The sequence below is a fragment of the Homo sapiens genome, chromosome 17 (assembly GCF_000001405.40).
Source record: "Homo sapiens chromosome 17, GRCh38.p14 Primary Assembly".
Taxonomy (NCBI): Eukaryota; Metazoa; Chordata; class Mammalia; order Primates; family Hominidae; genus Homo; species Homo sapiens.
In genome coordinates, this window is record NC_000017.11 from 2,746,285 (window position 1) to 2,764,174 (window position 17,890).

The window sequence follows — 17,890 nt, forward strand, 5'->3', positions numbered from 1 at the left end:
CCTGTTAATTTTCTAGCTTGATGAAAAAATATTCATTTAAAAAAATTGTTACCAAAAATATTAAAAAGACCCTAACACAAGGTTCACAATTTATAGGATTAATTCCAAGTACTTTTAACATGTCTCTGATGTGTCTGAAAGTTACAAATACTTTTCCCTTTGGGGAAGTTGGTGGAGAAGGCTTCTGTGCTCAGGTCCCCAAACACGGGTAGAGTGTCAGACTCAGGAACCTTCTGACCCTGGCACAGTTGGGACTCTCTGAGGTCCGGGCTCCTGATCCCTGAAAATGACCTCTCTTCCTGCTTGTTTCTGGAGATTCTGGGTACCCACTTCCCTACCCAGTTACAACTGACTTGGCAAGTGGGAAACTACAGTTCTCTCCCTGCTTCAGCTGTTTGTTTTTTTGAGACGGAGTCTCCTCTGTCGCCCAGGCTGGAGTGCAGTGGCTCGATCTTGGCTCACTGCAACCTCCGCCTCCTGGGTTCAAGCAATTCTTCTGCCTCAGCCTCCCGAGTAGCTGGAATTACAGGCACCCACCCAACACACCCAGCTATTTTTTGTATTTTTAGTAGAGACGGGGTTTCACCATGTTGGACAGGCTGGTCTTGAACTCCTGACCTCAGGTGATCCATCCGCCTCAGCCTCCCAAAGGGCTGGGACTACAGATGTGAGCCACAGCGCCTGGCCTGCTAACCAGCAGTTTGAAAACCTCTTTTACAGTCCAATATTTCCTTGGGTATCTAAATCTCACCTTCCCCACACCCTTTTTGTCTGCTCCAGGTCCCCTGGCCTCTGCCACCTCTTTCTTTCCCTCAAGCAGAGGAGGTCGCTGGAAGAGGAACCAGACCCCACACTTCTTGTGACCTGCTTGCCTGGGGTTTGCATTGTCTGCCACCCCTCACTCACTGGCGGGTTCTCTTGTCCCAGTTTCAGCTTTTCCTAGTGTTTCTTTTCTGTTTGGGACTGAAAATATTTATCAAGTCAACAGATATCTTTGTGTTGTTCTTAACAGTCAATAGCCATGTTTTCTTAAAGTTCTTTAAGTATGTATGTTTTCTTGTTTTAAGGAGAATGTTAGACTTATTTTTATTATTCTTATAGTCAGCGCGGGTATATTAGATAGGACAAGCATGGCGATAAGTGAACAAATAAATGAATCAGGTCAGGTGCGGTGGCTCACGCCTGTCATCCCAGCACTTTGGGAGGCCGACTGGGGCAGATCACCTGAGGTCAGGAGTTTGAGACCAGCCTGGCCAACATGGCAAAACCCCATCTCTACTAAAAATACAAAAATTAGCAGGGCATGATGGCACGCACCTGTAGTACCAGCTACTCGGGAGGCTGAGCCAGGAGAGTCGTTTCAACCTGGGAGGCAGAGGTTGCAGTGAGTTGAGATCGCACCACTGCACTCCAACCTGGGCAATAAGAGCAAAACTCTATCTCAAAAGAAATAATCAATATGAGGTTTATGTTTCTTAGTCATTATTCCTGTTCATGGCCTGACTCAGAGGCCTGGGGCAGTCGGAAAGCAGGAACTCAAGAAGCCTTTCTTGGACATGGCATCAATGCATAAATAATAATACTTATAATAATAAGTAATTGGTACTGTTCTTAGCATTTTACATATATTAACTCATTTATCTTGGCAACAACCCCACGTTGAAGATTCTATTAATGTATCCACTTTATCGATGAGGAGACAGGCTTAGAAAGGTAAAGTAGTTTGCTCAGTATCTGCAACTACAGTGCCTGGCAACTAGAAGCACCCCACTGGGTGCTCGTCCTGGCGTTTATGGCTTCTCATAAGAGAATCCCAAAGGGGAGAAGATCAGCCTGCATTTAGCAGTCCACATCTGCAGGCTGATCTTCTTCTCTTTTGGATTCTATCTCTTGCTGCTCTGATGACAAACTCTTCCAGTAGCCCAGTAGCCAGGCCATCCCCTCACTTACTATATCCACCCTATCTCTGCCTCTTGAAGCCTGACCCATCCTTCAGGGCCTTGCTCTGATGTGACTTTTACCATGAAGCCATCCCTGATCCCCCACCAAGATGGAACGACTCTCTCCCGCCTCTCTGTTCCCCAGGCAATTTGTTGGAATCTGGGTGGCAGCTAGCACCACAGTCTGCCATATTATCACTCTTTGTTCTGTGTGTGTGTGTGTGTGCACGCATGCCTGCACGCACCTGGCTTCCGTGCAAAGCCATAAGTCTTCATCGTGTTTGTGTGTGTGTGTGTGTGTGTGTGTGTGTGTGTGCATGTGCCTGAATGCACCTGGCTTCTGTACTAAGCCATACGCTTCCTGAGGGCAAGGCTTTGTCTCTGGGAATCTCTTGCAAGGAACAGGCCCACAATGAATGCTGCTGAAACAGGGAGAATGGATTGAGTCTTACTGGGAATCACCAGGGCAAGTAAATACACATATTAAAAAATAAGTATGCTGGTCCCTCAACCCCACATCCTTGGCTTTCCTGGGGACTGGAGTTTGGAACAAGGATTCAGCCTTTGACAAATGTCTAGGACTCTGTCTGCAAGGTGGGGCCGCTTGGCCAGTGGTGGAGCCACACTCCCCAGGGACCTTGTGGTCCTCTCCACTCCGGAGCCCCTCCCCGCCGAACCCCTCAACTCTGGCTGCCCCCTGCACTGAAGCGCTCAGGACCCTCCACCTCAGCAAAGCTGAGGATCCAGTCACACGGGAATGGGGTGTATGGGGAAACTGGAGCCCCCCACCCCCTTCAGGCTTCAGGTTCTGCCCTGATTATGCCTCCAATATGACTCCCAGGGAAGGCAGGGGTTGGGGGGGGGATGTGGAGACTAAGGAGGACGGGGAAGCGAGGTAGCAGAGAGGAGGGCAAAGGCAGCAGAAATAAAGGTGTGCGTGGCGGGAGGTGGCGGGGCTCGACCTCGGGCCGCTCTGGACGCCCGGCAGTGCCAGGCAGGGCCCGGGTCTGGGCGGTGGAGGACAACTTCTGCCAGCAGCCCGCCGCGAGTCCTGTCCGCCTCCCGCGCGCTGCGGTGCCCAGCCCCGCGCCAGCCCTCCCGGGGGAGCTGGAGCTTGGCCGCGCTGCTCCCCCCTGGGGCCGCTCCGGCGCCCACACCCCCCACGCCCACCGACCGGCCTCCTCACCTTCGGGACCTGGGAGTCACCGGCCGGCGGGGCCCTGGGTCCGGGCCGGGCTGGGTGGGGGCGGCGCTCTTCCCCCCACGCTAGCTGCGCCCGGGGATCTGCAGCGCCCGCCCCGGCTGCGGCGCCATCAGCTGCTGGGAGGCTGCGGGGCAGTCGGGCCGGGGCTCCGGGGGGCTCGGGGGCGCCGAAGGGGGGTCGGGGGCGGGCTCGAGGCGTAAACACCCAGCAACGTGACCGGAACTGGCGAACGAGCCGGAGGGGTGCGGGGGGCGGGAGAGAGAAAGGGGGAGGGGAGGGACCTGAGACGGGCGGGGAGGGGCCGTGGGCGGGGCGGGGGGAGGGGAGGCCGGCGGCGCGCGGTCGGGGGGAGGGGGAACCCCGGGAGCCCCGAGAGCCCCGGGAACCGGGCCTGAGGCCCCCAGCGGGCCGCTGGGCTCGCGGAGCTGGCTTTGGCTGGTAGCTGGAAGGGCAAACTGGGGAACCCGCCGGTGCCTTGGCGCGCAGGGGCGCGGCGAAGGATCAGCACCGCGGACAGCGCCCAGGCCGCCAGGCCGCGATCCGCTCCGCCCCTCCCGCCCTGGCGTAGGAAGGAGAGGCAGCGCCCGCAGCCGCGCAGGCAAGGCTTGGGGCGAAGCGCGATCTGACCAGTGGGCTGGGAATCCGTCCCGTGTCTAGGCAGCAGCAAACCTGCCCCAGACCTCTCACTAGCTGTGTGGCCTTGGGTGAGTCACATCACCTCTCTGGGCCGCAGTTGATAAGATGCCCTATTTCTAAAATTCTTTTATTATTATTATTATGCTTTAAGTTCTATGAGGGTCCCAAGAGCCAAGGGAAGATTCTTGATAAACTCCAAAGTTCAGGCCGGGCGCAGTGGCTCACGCCTGTGAGGCCAGCAGTTTGGGAGGCCGAGGCGGGCGGATCACCTGAAGTCAGGAGTTCGAGACCAGCCTGGCCAACATGGTGTATGTATCCCAATCTCTACTAAAACTACAAAAATTAGCCGGGAGTGGCGGGCGCCTCTAATCCCAGCTACTCGGAAGGCTGAGGCAGGAGAATCGCTTGAACCTGGGAGGCAGAGGTTGCAGTGGCCAAGATCGTGCCACCGCACTCCAGCCTGTGTGACAGAGCGAGACTCTATGTCAAAAACAAATAAACAAAAAAACTCCAAAGTTCAGAACACGTGCGAGGCATTGCTGTTGATCCGTTTTCACCAAACGTGGGAGGCTTCAGGAGTCCCACTGTGTGCCTCAAAAGTGTGGCTGCCCTAATATCTTCCTCCTGCCGGGGGCTTGGTCTCATCTGTAAATGAGGATAATGATGATCTATGTAGCTCATAAGATCTTCGGGTTGTTGTGAGGATTAAATGAATTCCTTCCTGTAAAGTGCTCAGAACAGTACTGCTGAGTGCTTGTTAGGCCTCTGTGCTCATGACAAGGGATGAGGTAGCATTGTGTGAGTGGCAGGTGGCTCAGAGATTGCTCTGGGTAAGTCATTCCTGTCCCTGCCTGGAGGACTGGGCTGAGTGGATTCAGGCTAATGGGTTGGTGCCTGGCTTTCCCCACTCCATGGCTAGCCAAATAATCCCTGGCCTTTCCTCCTGGACCAAATTTTCAGAGAAGCCCTGTACCTTCAGAGCTGGGAGACCCGGCACCTACTTGCCACAGAGGCCCTGGGGAGGCCTCAAGGGGCACCCTGCCTCTCTATGGGTCCCTTTCCTCCCTGTCCTCCCCACTTTCCAAAGGTTAACTGGACTCAGGTGTCAACAACTAAAAAGCTTTAGCTGCTCCTGGAAAATTCTAATCCTAAAGAGTTGCAGGGGCCAGGCTCAGTGGCTCACGGCTCTAATCCCAGCATTTTCGGAGGCTGAGGTGGGTGGATCATGAGGTTAGGAATTCAAGACCAGCCTGACCAAGATGATAAAACCCTGTCTTTACTAAAAATACAAAAATTAGTCGGGCGTGGTGGCAGGTGCCTGTAATCCCAGCTACTCAGGAGGCTGAAGCAGGAGAACCGCTTGAACCTGGGCGGCAGAGGTTGCGGTCAGCCAAGATCACACCACTGCACTCCAGCCTGGGTGATAGAGTGGGACTCCATCTCAAAACAAACAAACAAACAAACAAACAAACAGAGAGTTGCAGGAATGACTGTCTTAGGTGGCTTGACAGGCTGCGGGGTTTGAATTTTGTTCAAAGGCCTCTCAAATCCCACCCTGCAGGAACTCTAGCTACTAGCTGCACTGTGGGTGGCCCCTCTTCATCCTGTCTGAGGAAATCCTTGGGAGAGGAACAGAAAGGCCAGCCTCACCCCTCTTCCTGTCTCTTGCTGTCCTTCCTAGAGGGCAGTATTCCTGGACTGTGCTCCTTGGACCTGCATATCAGTATCTCCAGCAGCAGTGTGAGTTCTGATGAACCATCCATATTCCCTCCATTTCATGAGATATCGGTAAGAATGATGAAAGGTATGTTTTGTATCTCCAAAAACAGGTGATATGAAGGAGCCTGAAAACCTGGCTTCTGGCCCCAGCTCTGTTACTTACTACTTGGGTAATTCTGGGCAAGACTCAGCCTCTCAGAGCTCCAGTTCCTTCTCAGTTAAATGGGAAGAGTAACATTGACTCTGCCAACAGGATCCTTGTGAGGCTGTCTTAAGGTACAAGTGAAGGGGCTGATAAAGTGCACATGGATAGAATTGTTATCACCAAGTCTCAAATGTTCTTCTCTTTGATCTGTGTCAGGATGAATCCTGGAACTCTGTCTTTTATTTATTTATTTATCTATTTATTTATTTATTTAAGGTGGAGTCTCACTCTTTCGCCCAGGCTGGAGTGAAGTGGCATGATCTCAGCTCACCGCAACTTCTGCCCCCTGGGTTCAAGTGATTCTCCTGCCTCAGCCTCCCAAGTAGCTGGGATTACAGGCACGCACCACCAGGCCCGGCTAATTTTTGTATTTCTAGTAGAGATGGAGTTTCACCATGTTGGCCAGGCTAGTTTTGAACTCCTGACCTCAAGTGATCTGCCCACCTTGGCCTCCCAAAGTGCTGGGATTACAGGCGTGAGCCACGAAGCCCGGCCCTTTTTTTTTTTTTTTTTCTGAGATGGAGTCTAGCTCTGTCACCCGGGCTGGAGTGCAGTGGAGTGATCTCAGTTTACGGAAACCTCTACCTCCTGGGTTCAAGCAGTTCTCCTACCTCAGCCTTCCGAGTAGCTGGGATTATAGACGTATGCCACCACGCCCAGCTGATTTTTGTGTTTTCAGTAGAGATAGGGTTTTGCCATATTGGCCAGGCTGGTCTCGAACTCCTGACCTCAAGTGGATCTGCCCACCTCGGTCTCCCAAAGTGCTGGGATTACAGGTGTGAGCCCCTGTGCCTGGCCTTTTTTCTACTTTCTTTTTTTTCCTTTTCCTTTTTTTTTTTTAGAAACAGGCCCTGGCTCTGCTGCTCAGGCTGGAGTGCAGTGGTGCAATCATAGCTGACCAAAGCCTCGAACTCCTGGGCTCAAGTGATCCTCCAGCCTCAGCCTCCCAAAGCACTAGGATTACAGGAGTGAGCCACTGCGCCCAGCTCTCTTTTCTTTTCTTTTTATTTTTGAGACAGGGTCTCAGTCTGTTGTCCAGGACGGAGTGCAGTCGTGCAAACACAGCTCACTGCAGCCTCCACCTCCTGAGCTCAGGTCCTCCCACCGCAGCCTCCCAAGTAGCTGGGCTCCAGGCGTGTGCCACCATGCCTGGCTAATTTTTGTAGTTTTTTGTAGAGATGGGGTTTCACCCTGTTGCCCAGGCTGATCTTGAACTCCTGGGCTCAAGTGATCTACCTGCCTTGGCCTCCCAAAGTGCTGAGATGACAGCGCTTTGCTGGGATTAGCCACGGTGCCACACCCTGGCTCCATTTCCAAAATTAAACTTGTAACAAAGTAAAAGAAAACTAAAGTTTAGAAAAAGTGTACCTCTTGCTTCCGAAGCCACGATTACTTTGAGTTGAGCACTTTACCAATGGGATCTCATTTAAACTTCAGATAAATCGTATTGGAAAGGTTTATTCCCATTTTCAGATGGAGAGAATGAGGTTGAATTTAACATCACACAGCTTGGAAATGGCAGAGCCAGGATTCAAACTCCAGCCCAGCCTGGCCCAGAGACAAGCTTGTAACCACAGCATCCTCACGCCTGCCAGAGAGAACATGAGTCCAGCTGTGGCAGCCACAGTGGTCATAGCTTAAAGGGAAGGTAAGGGCCAAAGTGTGCAAGGCCTGGAATGCCAGCTAGAGGAATGAGGCCTGGGTGGCAGAGAAGGCCTAGAGTCTCCTCCATCTCTTCATGACAGTCAGAAATTCTGACTTTCTCAGTTTAGTTTGGGTAACAGTTCTGTATTGGTTAGCATCCTGGCAGGGAACAGATGGCACATTTAAAATGGACAATTTGGCTGGGCCCGGTGGCTCTCACCTGTAATCCCAGCACTTTGGGAGGCCAAGGTGGGCAGATCACTTGCGGTCAGGAGTTTGAGACCAGCCTGGCCAACATGACGAAATCTCGTCTCTACTAAAAATACAAAAATTAGCCAGGTGTGGTGGTGGGTGCTTGTAATCCCAGCTACTCGGGAGGCTGAGGCAGGAGAATCGCTTGAATCCAGGAGGTGGAGGCTAATTTTTGTATTTTTTAGTAGAGATGGGGTTTTACCATATTGGCCAGGATGGTCTCGATCTCCTGACCTCGTGATCTGCCCGCCTCGGCCTCCCAAAGTGCTAGGATTACAGGCGTGAGCCACCGCGCCCGGCCGTATATATATATACCACATTTTGTTTATCCATTCATCCATCAGTGAACATTTAGGTTGCTTCCACCTGTTGGCTATTGTGAATAATGCTGCCATGAACACGGGGCACACTTTCTTTTCTTTTCTTTTTTTTTTCTTGAGACGGAGTCTCGCACTGTCGCCCAGGCTGGAGTGCAGTGGCGCGATCTCGGCTCGCTGCAAGCTCTGCCCTCTGCCTCCCAGGTTCACGCCATTCTCCTGCCTCAGCCTTCCGAGTAGCTGGGACTACAGGCGCCCGCCACCACGCACGGCTAATTTTTTGTATTTTTAGTAGAGAGGGGGTTTCACCATGTTGGCCAGGATGGTCTCCATCTCCTGACCTCGTGATCCACCTGCCTCGGCCTCCCAAAGTGCTGGGATTACAGGCATGAGCCACCACGCATGGGGCACACATTTTTTAAACCAGTTTGACATTTGACATATATATATATATATATTTTATATATATATTTAGAGACCGGGTCTTGCTATGTTGCCCAGGCTGGAGTGGCAGCGGCTATTCCCAGGTATGTTTATAGCACTCAACAGACTTGAACTCCTGGCTCAAGTGATCCTCCTGCCTCAGACTCCTAAGTAGCTGGGACTACAGGCATATACCACCACACCTGGCTGACATTAGCCTTTTAATTTTGCTTATTGTGTTTTTGTGATGTGCAGATATTAAACATTTTTATTTTAGCCAAATCCATTAATCTCTTCCTTTATGGCTTCTGCCACTGATGTCATGCTAAAAAAAAAAAACCTATCCTCACTTTAATATAATGACAATACTTATCCACGTTTTTTTCTTTTCTTTCTTTTTTTTTTTTTTTTTTTTTTTTTGAGACAGTCTTGCCCTGTTGCCCAGGCTGGAGTGCAATGGCGCGACCTCTGCTCACTGCAACCTCCGCCTCCCCGGTTCAAGCGATTCTCCTGCCTCAGCCTCCCGAGTAGCTGGGATTACAGGCAGGCGCCACCACGCCCCGCTAAGTTTTCTATTTTTAGTAGAGACGGGGTTTCACCATGTTGGCCAGGTTGGTCTCGATCGTCTTGACCTCGTGATCCGCCCACCTCCGCCTCCCAAAGCGCTGGGATTACAGGCGTGAGCCACCGCGCCCGGCCGAGTAGTTTACTTCTTTAGGCATCACTTCCTGGGTAGAACGGGTTTCCTAAGGGAGTAAGGCACAGAACGAGGCAATGGGCCGCCTGGTCTCTCCGCGCGTCAGTAGGACTCGGGGAACCAGACTCCGCCCAGTGCTCCCCAGAAACCCGGCTCCTCGGCGCGGCGGGGAGAGACCCGGACGGGGAGAGGCCGCTGTCCCGCCCGTTCTGCGGGGCCGGCGCTGACCCGGCTCCAGCCGCCTCCAGGGGCGGGGTCTGAGCGCCGCGCCCTCCCCGCGCCCTCCCCGCGCCCTCCCCGCGCCCTCCCCGCGAGCGCGCCCCGGACACCCGCCTGCGGCAGCCGAGCCTCCTCCACCGTGCGGCCCGCGGAGGGCAGGGAGCGGCCGGGCGAGGCATGGCGGGCCGCCGGGCGCCGGGGGAGAAGCGCTGGCAGCTGGTGCGCTGGTGAGTGGGCGCCGGGCGGCGCGGGGCCTAATGCGGGAGCGAACCCCGAGGCCCGGCCGGCGCGGGAAGCAGCGGGGCGCGGGCCCAAAGTTTCGTCCCGGGCTGAGGCTGCGGGGCCCGGGTGGGCGGAGGGGCGCCGGCTGCCTGGTCCCCACCACCCCCTCCGGTCCCCACCACCCCGCGTCCCCGCGCCGGGTCTCTGCGGCTCTCCAAAGAGATGGGCGACGGGGACCCTGTGCGAGCCGTCAGGCTTTGGGGGAACCCCGTCCCCCTCCCGCGGGGGCGCCCTTTCCCTGCACTTCACCTTTCACGCTCGCACGGGGCTTCCGCCTTCCCCTTCGCCCCCTTCAGGTTTCCCATTTGTGCCTCCCTCCGTTCCTTCTGCCACCCGGGGCAGGGCTCTGGACTTGGGCCCCGAGAAGGCACCACCCACAGCCCCCAACCCCTGCGTGGAAAGGGGTGCTTTAGCCCCGAAACACAGGAGCCCCTGGGGGTGTGCACTCTGGGGACAGGGCGCAGAGAAGGGGGCCTAGGAGACCAGGGCAGGGGAGGGGTCCCCGTGTAGCGGGGCAGTCGCCCTTTCCCCCTCCGCAGTCCTGGCCCGCTGGGAAGTCAGAGCCTGCGGTGTCAGGTTACCGGACTGCAAGCTCAGAGGGTTTCAGACGCAGCGCTGTCGAGTCACCTGATCTGGGCCCCCGAACCCACGTCCCAGGGTTCCAGGTGTCCCAATGTTCAGGACGGCTTCAGCCAGGGGCCTGACCTCTGCTTGGCGGCACTTGGAGCTTAGGGCAGCCTGCACAGCCCTCCCCGGACCTCGGAGGACTCCAAGATTCAAAAGAGAATGTCGGCCTGGGACTCCTCCCCATCCCAAATCATCCCACACACAGCAGGGTCAGAGAGCACCTCTGAAGGTACATTCTGTAGCCTGCATACAATGAACAATAATGTCATCAATAACAGCAACGTGGGCTTCCCCAGCACCTCCCGTGGCTCTGGAGTAGTCAGGATTCAGGCACACACTGAGAGGAAGGTATTAGCACCTCCATTTTACTAAAGATGAGGAAGCCGAGGGTCAGAGAGGGAAAAGGATTCAAGGTCACCCAACAAGCGCATGGTAGAGGCAAGGTTTGAACCAGGTCTTGCTCAGGAGCTTAACTTTTCCTCTGTTTTGCATATTTCCTGGATGGTTCCACCCAGCGTGGCCACACATCCAAGTTCACATTGTCCGAAAATCCCACAGTGTCAGAGCAGGAGGTGCCAATGGGTTTCCAAGTATATTAGTTAGCAGTGGAATCACTCTTCAAGTGAAGCTCCAATAGAGAAACCAGATAAAAGTAGAATTAATCTCCTTTATTTAATTCTTTTTTTTGAGATAGGGTCTCACTCTGTTGCCCAGGCTGGAGTGCAGTGGTGCAATCTCGGCTCACTGCAGCCTCCACCTCCCAGGCTCAAGTGATCCTCCCACCTCAGCCTCCCAAGTAGCTGGGACTGCAGGCATGGGCCATCACGCCCAGCTAATTTTTGTATTTTTTTTGTAGAGGTGGGATTTCACCATATTGTCCATAGCTAGTCTCGAACTCCTGGGCTCGAGCGATCTACCCACTTCAGCCTCCCAAAGTGCTGGGATTACAGGCATGAGCCACCGTGCCCCTGGCAGAGGTAATCCACTTTTGAATTACCTCAGGGGAGGTGGGCAGTTAGTGTCCCTTTCCTCAAAATGACATAGCATTCCATCGCCCGACCACAGCGCCTGGCTCAAGTATGGGTGTGTGACCTAGGTCAGGTCAGTGACATGACATCATGGGAACTGGGCTGGAACCACTGAGACAGGGAAGCTCTGTCTCCATAGAGTGTTGATCTGGGCCACTGATGACCACCTTGCTGCCACAAGGACTAAAACTGGAACAGAGGGAGGCAGAGGTATAAAGAAAGTAGGACCACCCCAGCACCCCAGACCTTCCAGATCAGTTCCCTCACTTCACAGAAGAAATAGGAAGAGATTTAAGGCGTAGAGCTTGGATGCCTGTTTTGACTCATCCTCCCAACTCTTGCCCCTGGCACTGTCTGCTGGGGTTGTTTCTTGGGCTGGACCTGATGATGCCTGAATTTTTTTTTTTTTTGAGATGGAGTCTCACACTGTCACCCAAGCTGGAGTGGAGTGGCGCGATCTCGGCTCACTGCAAGCTCCGCCTGCCGGGTTCACACCATTCTCCTGCCTCAGCCTCCTGAGTAGCTGGGACTACAGGTGCCCGCCACCACGCCAGGCTAATTTTTTGTATTTTTAGTAGAGACGGGGTTTCACCATGTTAGCCCGGATGGTGTCGATCTCCTGACCTCATGATCCGCCCGCCTTGGCCTCTCAAAGTGCTGGGATTACAGGCGTGAGCCACCACGCCTGGCCACGCCCCCCCCCCTTTTTTTTTTTTAAGATGAAGTCTACCTCTGTTGCCCAGGCTGGAGTGCAGTGGTGTGATCTTGGCTTACTGCAACCTGTGCCTCCTGGGTTCAAGTGATTCCCCTGCCTCAGCCTCCCGAGTACCTGGGACTACAGGTGCGCACCACCACGCCTGGCTAATTTTTTCTATTTTAGTAGAGAGAGGGTTTCACCATGTTGGCCAGGCTGGTCTTGATCTCTGACTTTGTGATCCGCCTGCCTCAGCCTCCCAAAGTGCTGGGATTACAAGTGTGAGCCACTGCACCCAGCCACATGAATCATTTTTAGTGCCGTAATTGGGTTTGGGGTCACCCCTCACCCCAGATAAAAGCTCATCTTTCTGAGAAGGTCCTGAAGATGTGACTTGAGTGGTTAGGCAGCCTGGCAGGGTGCACGTCTGAGGCCGAGATACCCTCTCAATCCATGCCATGCTCCAGCCATGGCCAGCCATGCTCCAGCTGTGGCCCCTGGATCTAGGACTTCCCACTGAGTCAGTTTACTTTCCTTTTTAATGAATCAGGATTCTTTCACTTGTAAATTGTAGAAATCGACTCAAACTAGCTTCAAAGAAAAAGGGAATTTATAGACTCACTGAACTGAAAAAACTCTAGGAGCTCTTCATGTTTCAGGCACAGCTAGATTCAGGAGCTCAAACAACGCCACTGAGGCTGGAGTGCAGTGGCGATCACAGCTCACTGCAGCCTCGACTTCCCAGGCCTGAGTGATCCTCCTCCATCAGCTTCCCATGTAGCTGGGGCCATAGTTGAGGTCCACCATCGAGAGCCACCACGTCTGGCTAACTTTTACATCTTTTTTTTTGCAGAGATGGGGTCTTGCTATATTGTCCAGGCTGGTCTCAAACTCCTGGGCTCAAGGGATCCTCCCATCTTGGCCTCCCAAAGTGCTGGGGCTACAGGCATGAGCCACTGTGCCCAGCCTTGAGTCATCATTCCTTTACCTAACCTCTACTGACAATCTTTCAAGTATTTTGAACATTTTGATATTACAAGCATTGTGGCAAAGAACATTCTTGAATCTATATCTGTGCATACTTGTGCAAAGATAGTGGTTGGATACTTTATTATTTTTTATTTTTTGAGACAGAATCTTGCTCTGTCACCCAGGATAGAGTGCAGTGGCTCAATCACAGCTCACTGTAGCCTCTACCCGCTAGGCTCAGGTGATCCTTCCACCTCAGCCCCCTGAGTAACTGGGACTACAGGCACGTGCCACCACGCCCAGCTAATTTTTTGTATTTTATTTTTTGAGACAGAGTCTCACTCTTGTCGCCCAGGCTGGAGTGCAATGGTACAACCTCAGCTCACTGCAACCTCCGCCTCCCAGGTTCAAGCAATTCTCCTGCCTCAGCCCCCGGAGTAGCTGGGATTACAGGCGCCTGCCACCATACCCGGCTAATTTTTATATTTTTAGTAGAGATGGGGTTTCACCATGTTGGCCAGGCTGGTCTCAAACTCCTGACCTCAGGTGATCTGCCCGCTTTGGCCTCCCAAAATGCTGGGATTACAGGCATGAGCCACCGCGCCCGGCCAATTCTTTGTATTTTTTATAGAAGCAGGTTTTCACCATGTTGCCCAGGCTGGTCTGAAACTCCTGGCTCAAGTGATGCATTTGCCTCCCGAAGTGTTGAGATTATAGATTTGAGCCAGCGCGCCTGGCCCATGGTTGGATATATTCTTCAAAGTGAAATTGCAGGGTAAAAACATTTGCATATTGAAAAAGATATTGCCAACCTGACCTCCAAAGAAGTTGTACCGTTTTATATTATCTCCAGTGATGTGTGAGATGCCAGTTTCTTCACAATTTTGCTCATGCTGCGATTAACAAACTTTAAAATCTTGGCCAATCTCACTGATGAAAAATGGTCTCTTGGACCATCCTGGCTAACACGGTGAAACCCCGTCTCTACCAAAAATACAAAAAATTAGCCAGGCGTGGTGGCGGGAGCCTGTAGTCCCAGCTACTGGGGAGGCTGAGGCAGGAGAATGGTGTGAACCTGGGAGGCGGAGCTTGCAGTGAGTTGAGATCGCGCCACTGCACTCCAACCTGGGGGACAGAGCGAGACTCTGTCTCAAAAAAAAAAAAAAAAAAAAAGAAAAGAAAAAAGAAAAATGGTCTCGTTAACTTTCACTTTTTTTTGAGACGGAGTCTTGCTCTGTCGCCCAGGGTGGAGTGTAGTGGCGCAATCTCAGCTCACTGCAGCCTCTGCCTCCTGGGTTCAAACAATTCTCCTGCCTCAGCCTCCTGAGTAGCTGAGATTACAGGTGTGTGCCACCACACCCGGCTAATTTTTGTATTTTTAGTAGAGGCAGGGTTTCACCATGTTGGCCAGGCTGGTCTTGAACTCCTGACCTCAGGTGATCCATCGACCTTGGCCTCCCAGAGTGCTGGGATTACAGGCGTGAGCCACCGCGCCTGGCCAACTTTCACTTTTTTTTTTACTTACGGTAAACTTTAATTTTCCCTAATGTCCTTTCCCTGTTCTAGGGCCCCATTCAAGATACCGCATTACGTTTAGTTCCTGTGCTTCGTTGAGCTCCTCTTAGCTGTGAAAGCTTCTCAGACGTTCCTTGTTTTAGATGACCTTGACAGTTTTTGAGGAGTACTGCTCATATTTTGTAGATTGCCACTCACTCAGTTGGGATTTCTCTGATGTTTTTCTCATGATTAAACTGGTATTATGAGTTTTGGGGAGGAGGATCACAGGGATGGGTGCCATTTTCTTTTCTTTTCTTTCTTTTTCTTTTTTTTTGAGACACAGTTTCACTCTTGTTGTCCAGGCTGGAGTGCAATGGTGTGATCTCTGCACACTGCAACCTCCGCCTCCGGGGTTCAAGCGATTCTTCTGCCTCAGCCTCCCGAGTAGCTGGGATTACAGGCGTGTGCCACCATGCCTAATTAATTTTTGTATGTTTAGTAGGGTTGAGGTTTCACCTTGTTGGCCAGGCTGGTCTTGAACTCCTGACCTTAAATGATCCACCCATCTCGGCCTCCCAAAGTGCTGGGATTACAGGAGTGAGCCACTGAGCCTGGCCGGTGGGGTGCCATTTTCTCTTTTTGGTCTTTTTTCTTTTTTTTTTTTTTTTGAGACGGAGTTTCACTCTTGTTGCCCAGGCTGGAGTGCAATGGTGTGATCTCAGCTCACCGCAACCTCCGTCCCCCGGGTTCAAGCGATTCTCTTGCCTCAGCCTCCCAAACAGCTGGGATTACAGGCATGTGCCACCACTCCCAGCTAATTTTGTATTTTTAGTAGAGACGGGGTTTCTCCACGTTGGCCAGGCTGGTTTCAGACTCCCAGGCTCAGGTGATCTGCCCGCCTCGGCCTCCCAACGTGCTGGGATTACAGGTGTGAGGCACCGCACCCGGCCAGGGGGGTGCCATTCTCATCATATCGTCAAGGGTATATACAGTTGTCCCTTTGTATCCTTGGGGGATTGGTTTCAGCACCCTTGGGGATACCAGAATTCAAGGATGCTCTAGTCCCTTGAGTAAAATGGTGAAGTACAGGTCGCAGAATTTGTTTGAGAAAAGAAATACAATAAAATAAATAAATTGGTGCTGGGTGTGGGAATGTGCACCAGCTGTGTACGAAGGTTCCGGTTTTTCCACATCCCCATCAACACTTGTTATTATCTCTGTCTTTGCTTATAGCCATCCTAGTGAGTGTGAAATGGTGTCTCATTGTGGTTTTCATTTGCATTTCCCTGATGGCTGATGACGTCGGGCATCTTTTCATGTAGTTATTGTCCGTTTATATATCTTTTTTTTTTTTTTTTTTTTTTTTTTTGAGACGGAGTCTTGCTCTGTTGCCCATGCTGGAGCACAGTGGTGCAATCTTGGCTTACTGCAAGCTCCGCCTCCCAGGTTCACGCCATTCTCTATCTCAGCCTCCCGAGTAGCTGGGACTACAGGCGCCCGCCACCACGCCCAGCTAATTTTTTGTGTTTTTAGTAGAGACGGGGTTTCACCGTGTTAGCCAGGATGATCTCGATCTCCTGACCTCGTGATCCACCTGCCTCGGCCTCCCAAAGTGCTGGGATTACAGGCGTGAGCCACTGCGCCTGGCCGTCCATTTATATATCCTTTTTAGAGAAAGGACTATTCAGATCCTTTGCCCATGTTTAAATTGTGTTAGTTGTCTTTGTATTATTGAGTTGTAAAAGTTTCTTTTTTCTTTCTTTTTTTTTTTTTTTTTTGAGACAGAGTCTTACTCTGTCGCCGAGGCTGGAGTGCAGTGGCACGATCTCGGCTCACTGCAACCTCCACCTCCCAGGTTCAAGTGATTCTCCTGCCTCAGCCTCCTGAATAGCTGGGATTAGAGGTGCCCACAACCACACCTGGCTAATTTTTGTTTTTTTTTTGGTAGAGATGGGATTTCACCATGCTGGCCAAGCTGGTCTCGAACTCCTTACCTCAGATGATCCACTTGCCTTGGCCTCCCAAAGTGCTATGCTGGAATTACGTGAGCCACTGCACCCAGCCTGGGTTAGGATTTCAACATAGAAATTTTGTGGGGACACAAAAATTCGGGCCCTAGCACTGGGTCTCGTCACTTCAAGTGATCCTCCTGCCTCAGCCTCCTTGGTAGCTGGGGCTATAGGTGCACGCCACCATACCTGGCTAATTATTTATCTTTTGTAGAGATAAGGTTTTGCCACGTTGCCCACGCTGGTCTCGAACTCCCGGACTCAAGCAATCCTCCTACCTCAGCCTCTGAAAGTACTGGGACTACAGGTGTGAGCCACCACACCCAGCTTTCTTGCCGAAGTTTGAGTGGCTGATAGTGATTGAAAAGGTTGGCCCTCTGTAGCAGTTACTCTCCTTCAGTGTAGTGTTCAGCGGGATTTCAGATACACGGCAAGGTGATAGGGAAGATAGTTGGAGATGGCAGTTTACTTTTCCTTATATTCAATGCAATCCAATTCAGCAAACATATTTTCTACGTTAACAAGTTGGACTCGTTAGTGGGGATCATCTGTGTCAGAGCATTCCGAGGATGTAGTTAGTTGATCACTGTTCTTGCTGTGATTTTTACAGCAGGCTGGCTTCGAAGACCAGAGGGCTGTGTAAGGATGTTGTGGGGATTTCAGAGATGGATCAGATACAGCCTTTGTACTTCAGCAGTGAGACAGACAGGCACATAAATAACTAACATCCAGGCAGGCAGAGAAATGCTGTGATCAAGGTTAAGGAAGGCCGGGTGCGGCAGCTCATGCCTGGAATCCCAGCGCTTTGGGAGGCCGAGGCAGGTGGATCACCTGAAGTCAGGAGTTCAAGACCAGGCTGGCAATCATGGTGCAACCCTGTCTCTACTAAAAATGCACAAATTAGCTGGGCGTGGTGGCGGGTGCCTGTAATCCCAGCTACTAGGGAGGCTGAGGCAGGAGAATCTCTTGAACTTGGGAGGTGGAGGTTGCAATGAGCCGAGATTGTACCACTGCACTCCAGCCTGGGTGACACAGAGAGACTCTGTCTCAAAACAAAAAAAGAATAAAGAATAAAAGAAAATCCCTCATTCACAGCCTCTGGGAGATGGGGGTGGAGAGCGGGAGGAGGGGAGGGGAGGCTGGGTGGGGCCAGGAGGTGAAGGCTGTGCAGGTGGCCGGGGCTGTATTCCACCAGTGGAAAGGGTGAGTGATGGGGTTGGAGTGGGAGATGGCTCCTGAGTGAGCCTGCTCTTCTTTCAGCCTGGGGACCTGTGTGTGCCCGGTGGGATCAAGGACAGCATGATGTGATGTGTGGTCTGTCAGCCCGGGAGAGACCCTGTGCCTCTGCTGGGTCTCACGTCCTCATCTATAAAATAAAGCTGCTGGACCAGATGAGTGACTTCTTGGGATTTTTCTGGCCCTAGCAACCTACGATGATGTCATAATCAGAAGATATCTTAAATTAAAAAAAAAAGGTATTTACCTTTTAAAAAATATAAAATAGGCTGTGCGCAGTGGCTCACGCCTG

The 17,890-nt window shown here is 52.3% G+C and overlaps 2 protein-coding genes and 1 non-coding gene across 10 annotated transcripts in view, besides 2 other annotated features; 1 reads left to right on the plus strand and 2 right to left on the minus strand.

Moving 5' to 3' along the window:
- Positions 1-3,368, minus strand: part of CCDC92B (coiled-coil domain containing 92B) — a 28,852-nt gene extending 25,484 nt beyond the window's left edge. For all 5 annotated transcript variants that reach the window (XR_002957942.2, XR_002957941.2, XR_002957940.2 and 2 more), the window contains exon 1: positions 3,127-3,368. The gene's annotated coding sequence lies outside the window, so the exon portion shown is untranslated. The remainder of the gene's footprint in view (positions 1-3,126) is intronic.
- On the minus strand, positions 1,794-1,898 carry MIR1253 (microRNA 1253). Its single transcript, NR_031654.1, has one exon. It is a non-coding gene; the product is annotated as a microRNA 1253 (primary transcript).
- Positions 3,558-3,747: a silencer, noted in NCBI's record as "silent region_8011". NCBI's record gives its function as "represses an Ori minimal core promoter by ATAC-STARR-seq in GM12878 lymphoblastoid cells {active_cell/tissue: GM12878}" and the evidence as "EXISTENCE:reporter gene assay evidence [ECO:0000049][PMID:35858748]".
- Positions 8,804-9,013: a silencer, noted in NCBI's record as "fragment chr17:2658382-2658591 (GRCh37/hg19 assembly coordinates)". NCBI's record gives its function as "represses an EF-1alpha promoter that drives an FKBP-Casp9 reporter gene in an ReSE screen in both phorbol 12-myristate 13-acetate-treated (for megakaryocytic differentiation) and untreated K562 erythroleukemia cells {active_cell/tissue: K562 | K562(+PMA)}" and the evidence as "EXISTENCE:reporter gene assay evidence [ECO:0000049][PMID:32094911]".
- The window catches only part of RAP1GAP2 (RAP1 GTPase activating protein 2), a 282,097-nt gene continuing 273,567 nt past the window's right edge, over positions 9,361-17,890 (plus strand). For all 4 annotated transcript variants that reach the window (XM_047435668.1, NM_001411048.1, NM_001438816.1 and 1 more), the window contains exon 1: positions 9,361-9,483. Coding sequence is in view for 3 of the 4 variants with exons in the window: in NM_001411048.1 (NP_001397977.1) it covers positions 9,434-9,483 (50 nt within the window). In the remaining variant the exon portion in view is untranslated. The remainder of the gene's footprint in view (positions 9,484-17,890) is intronic.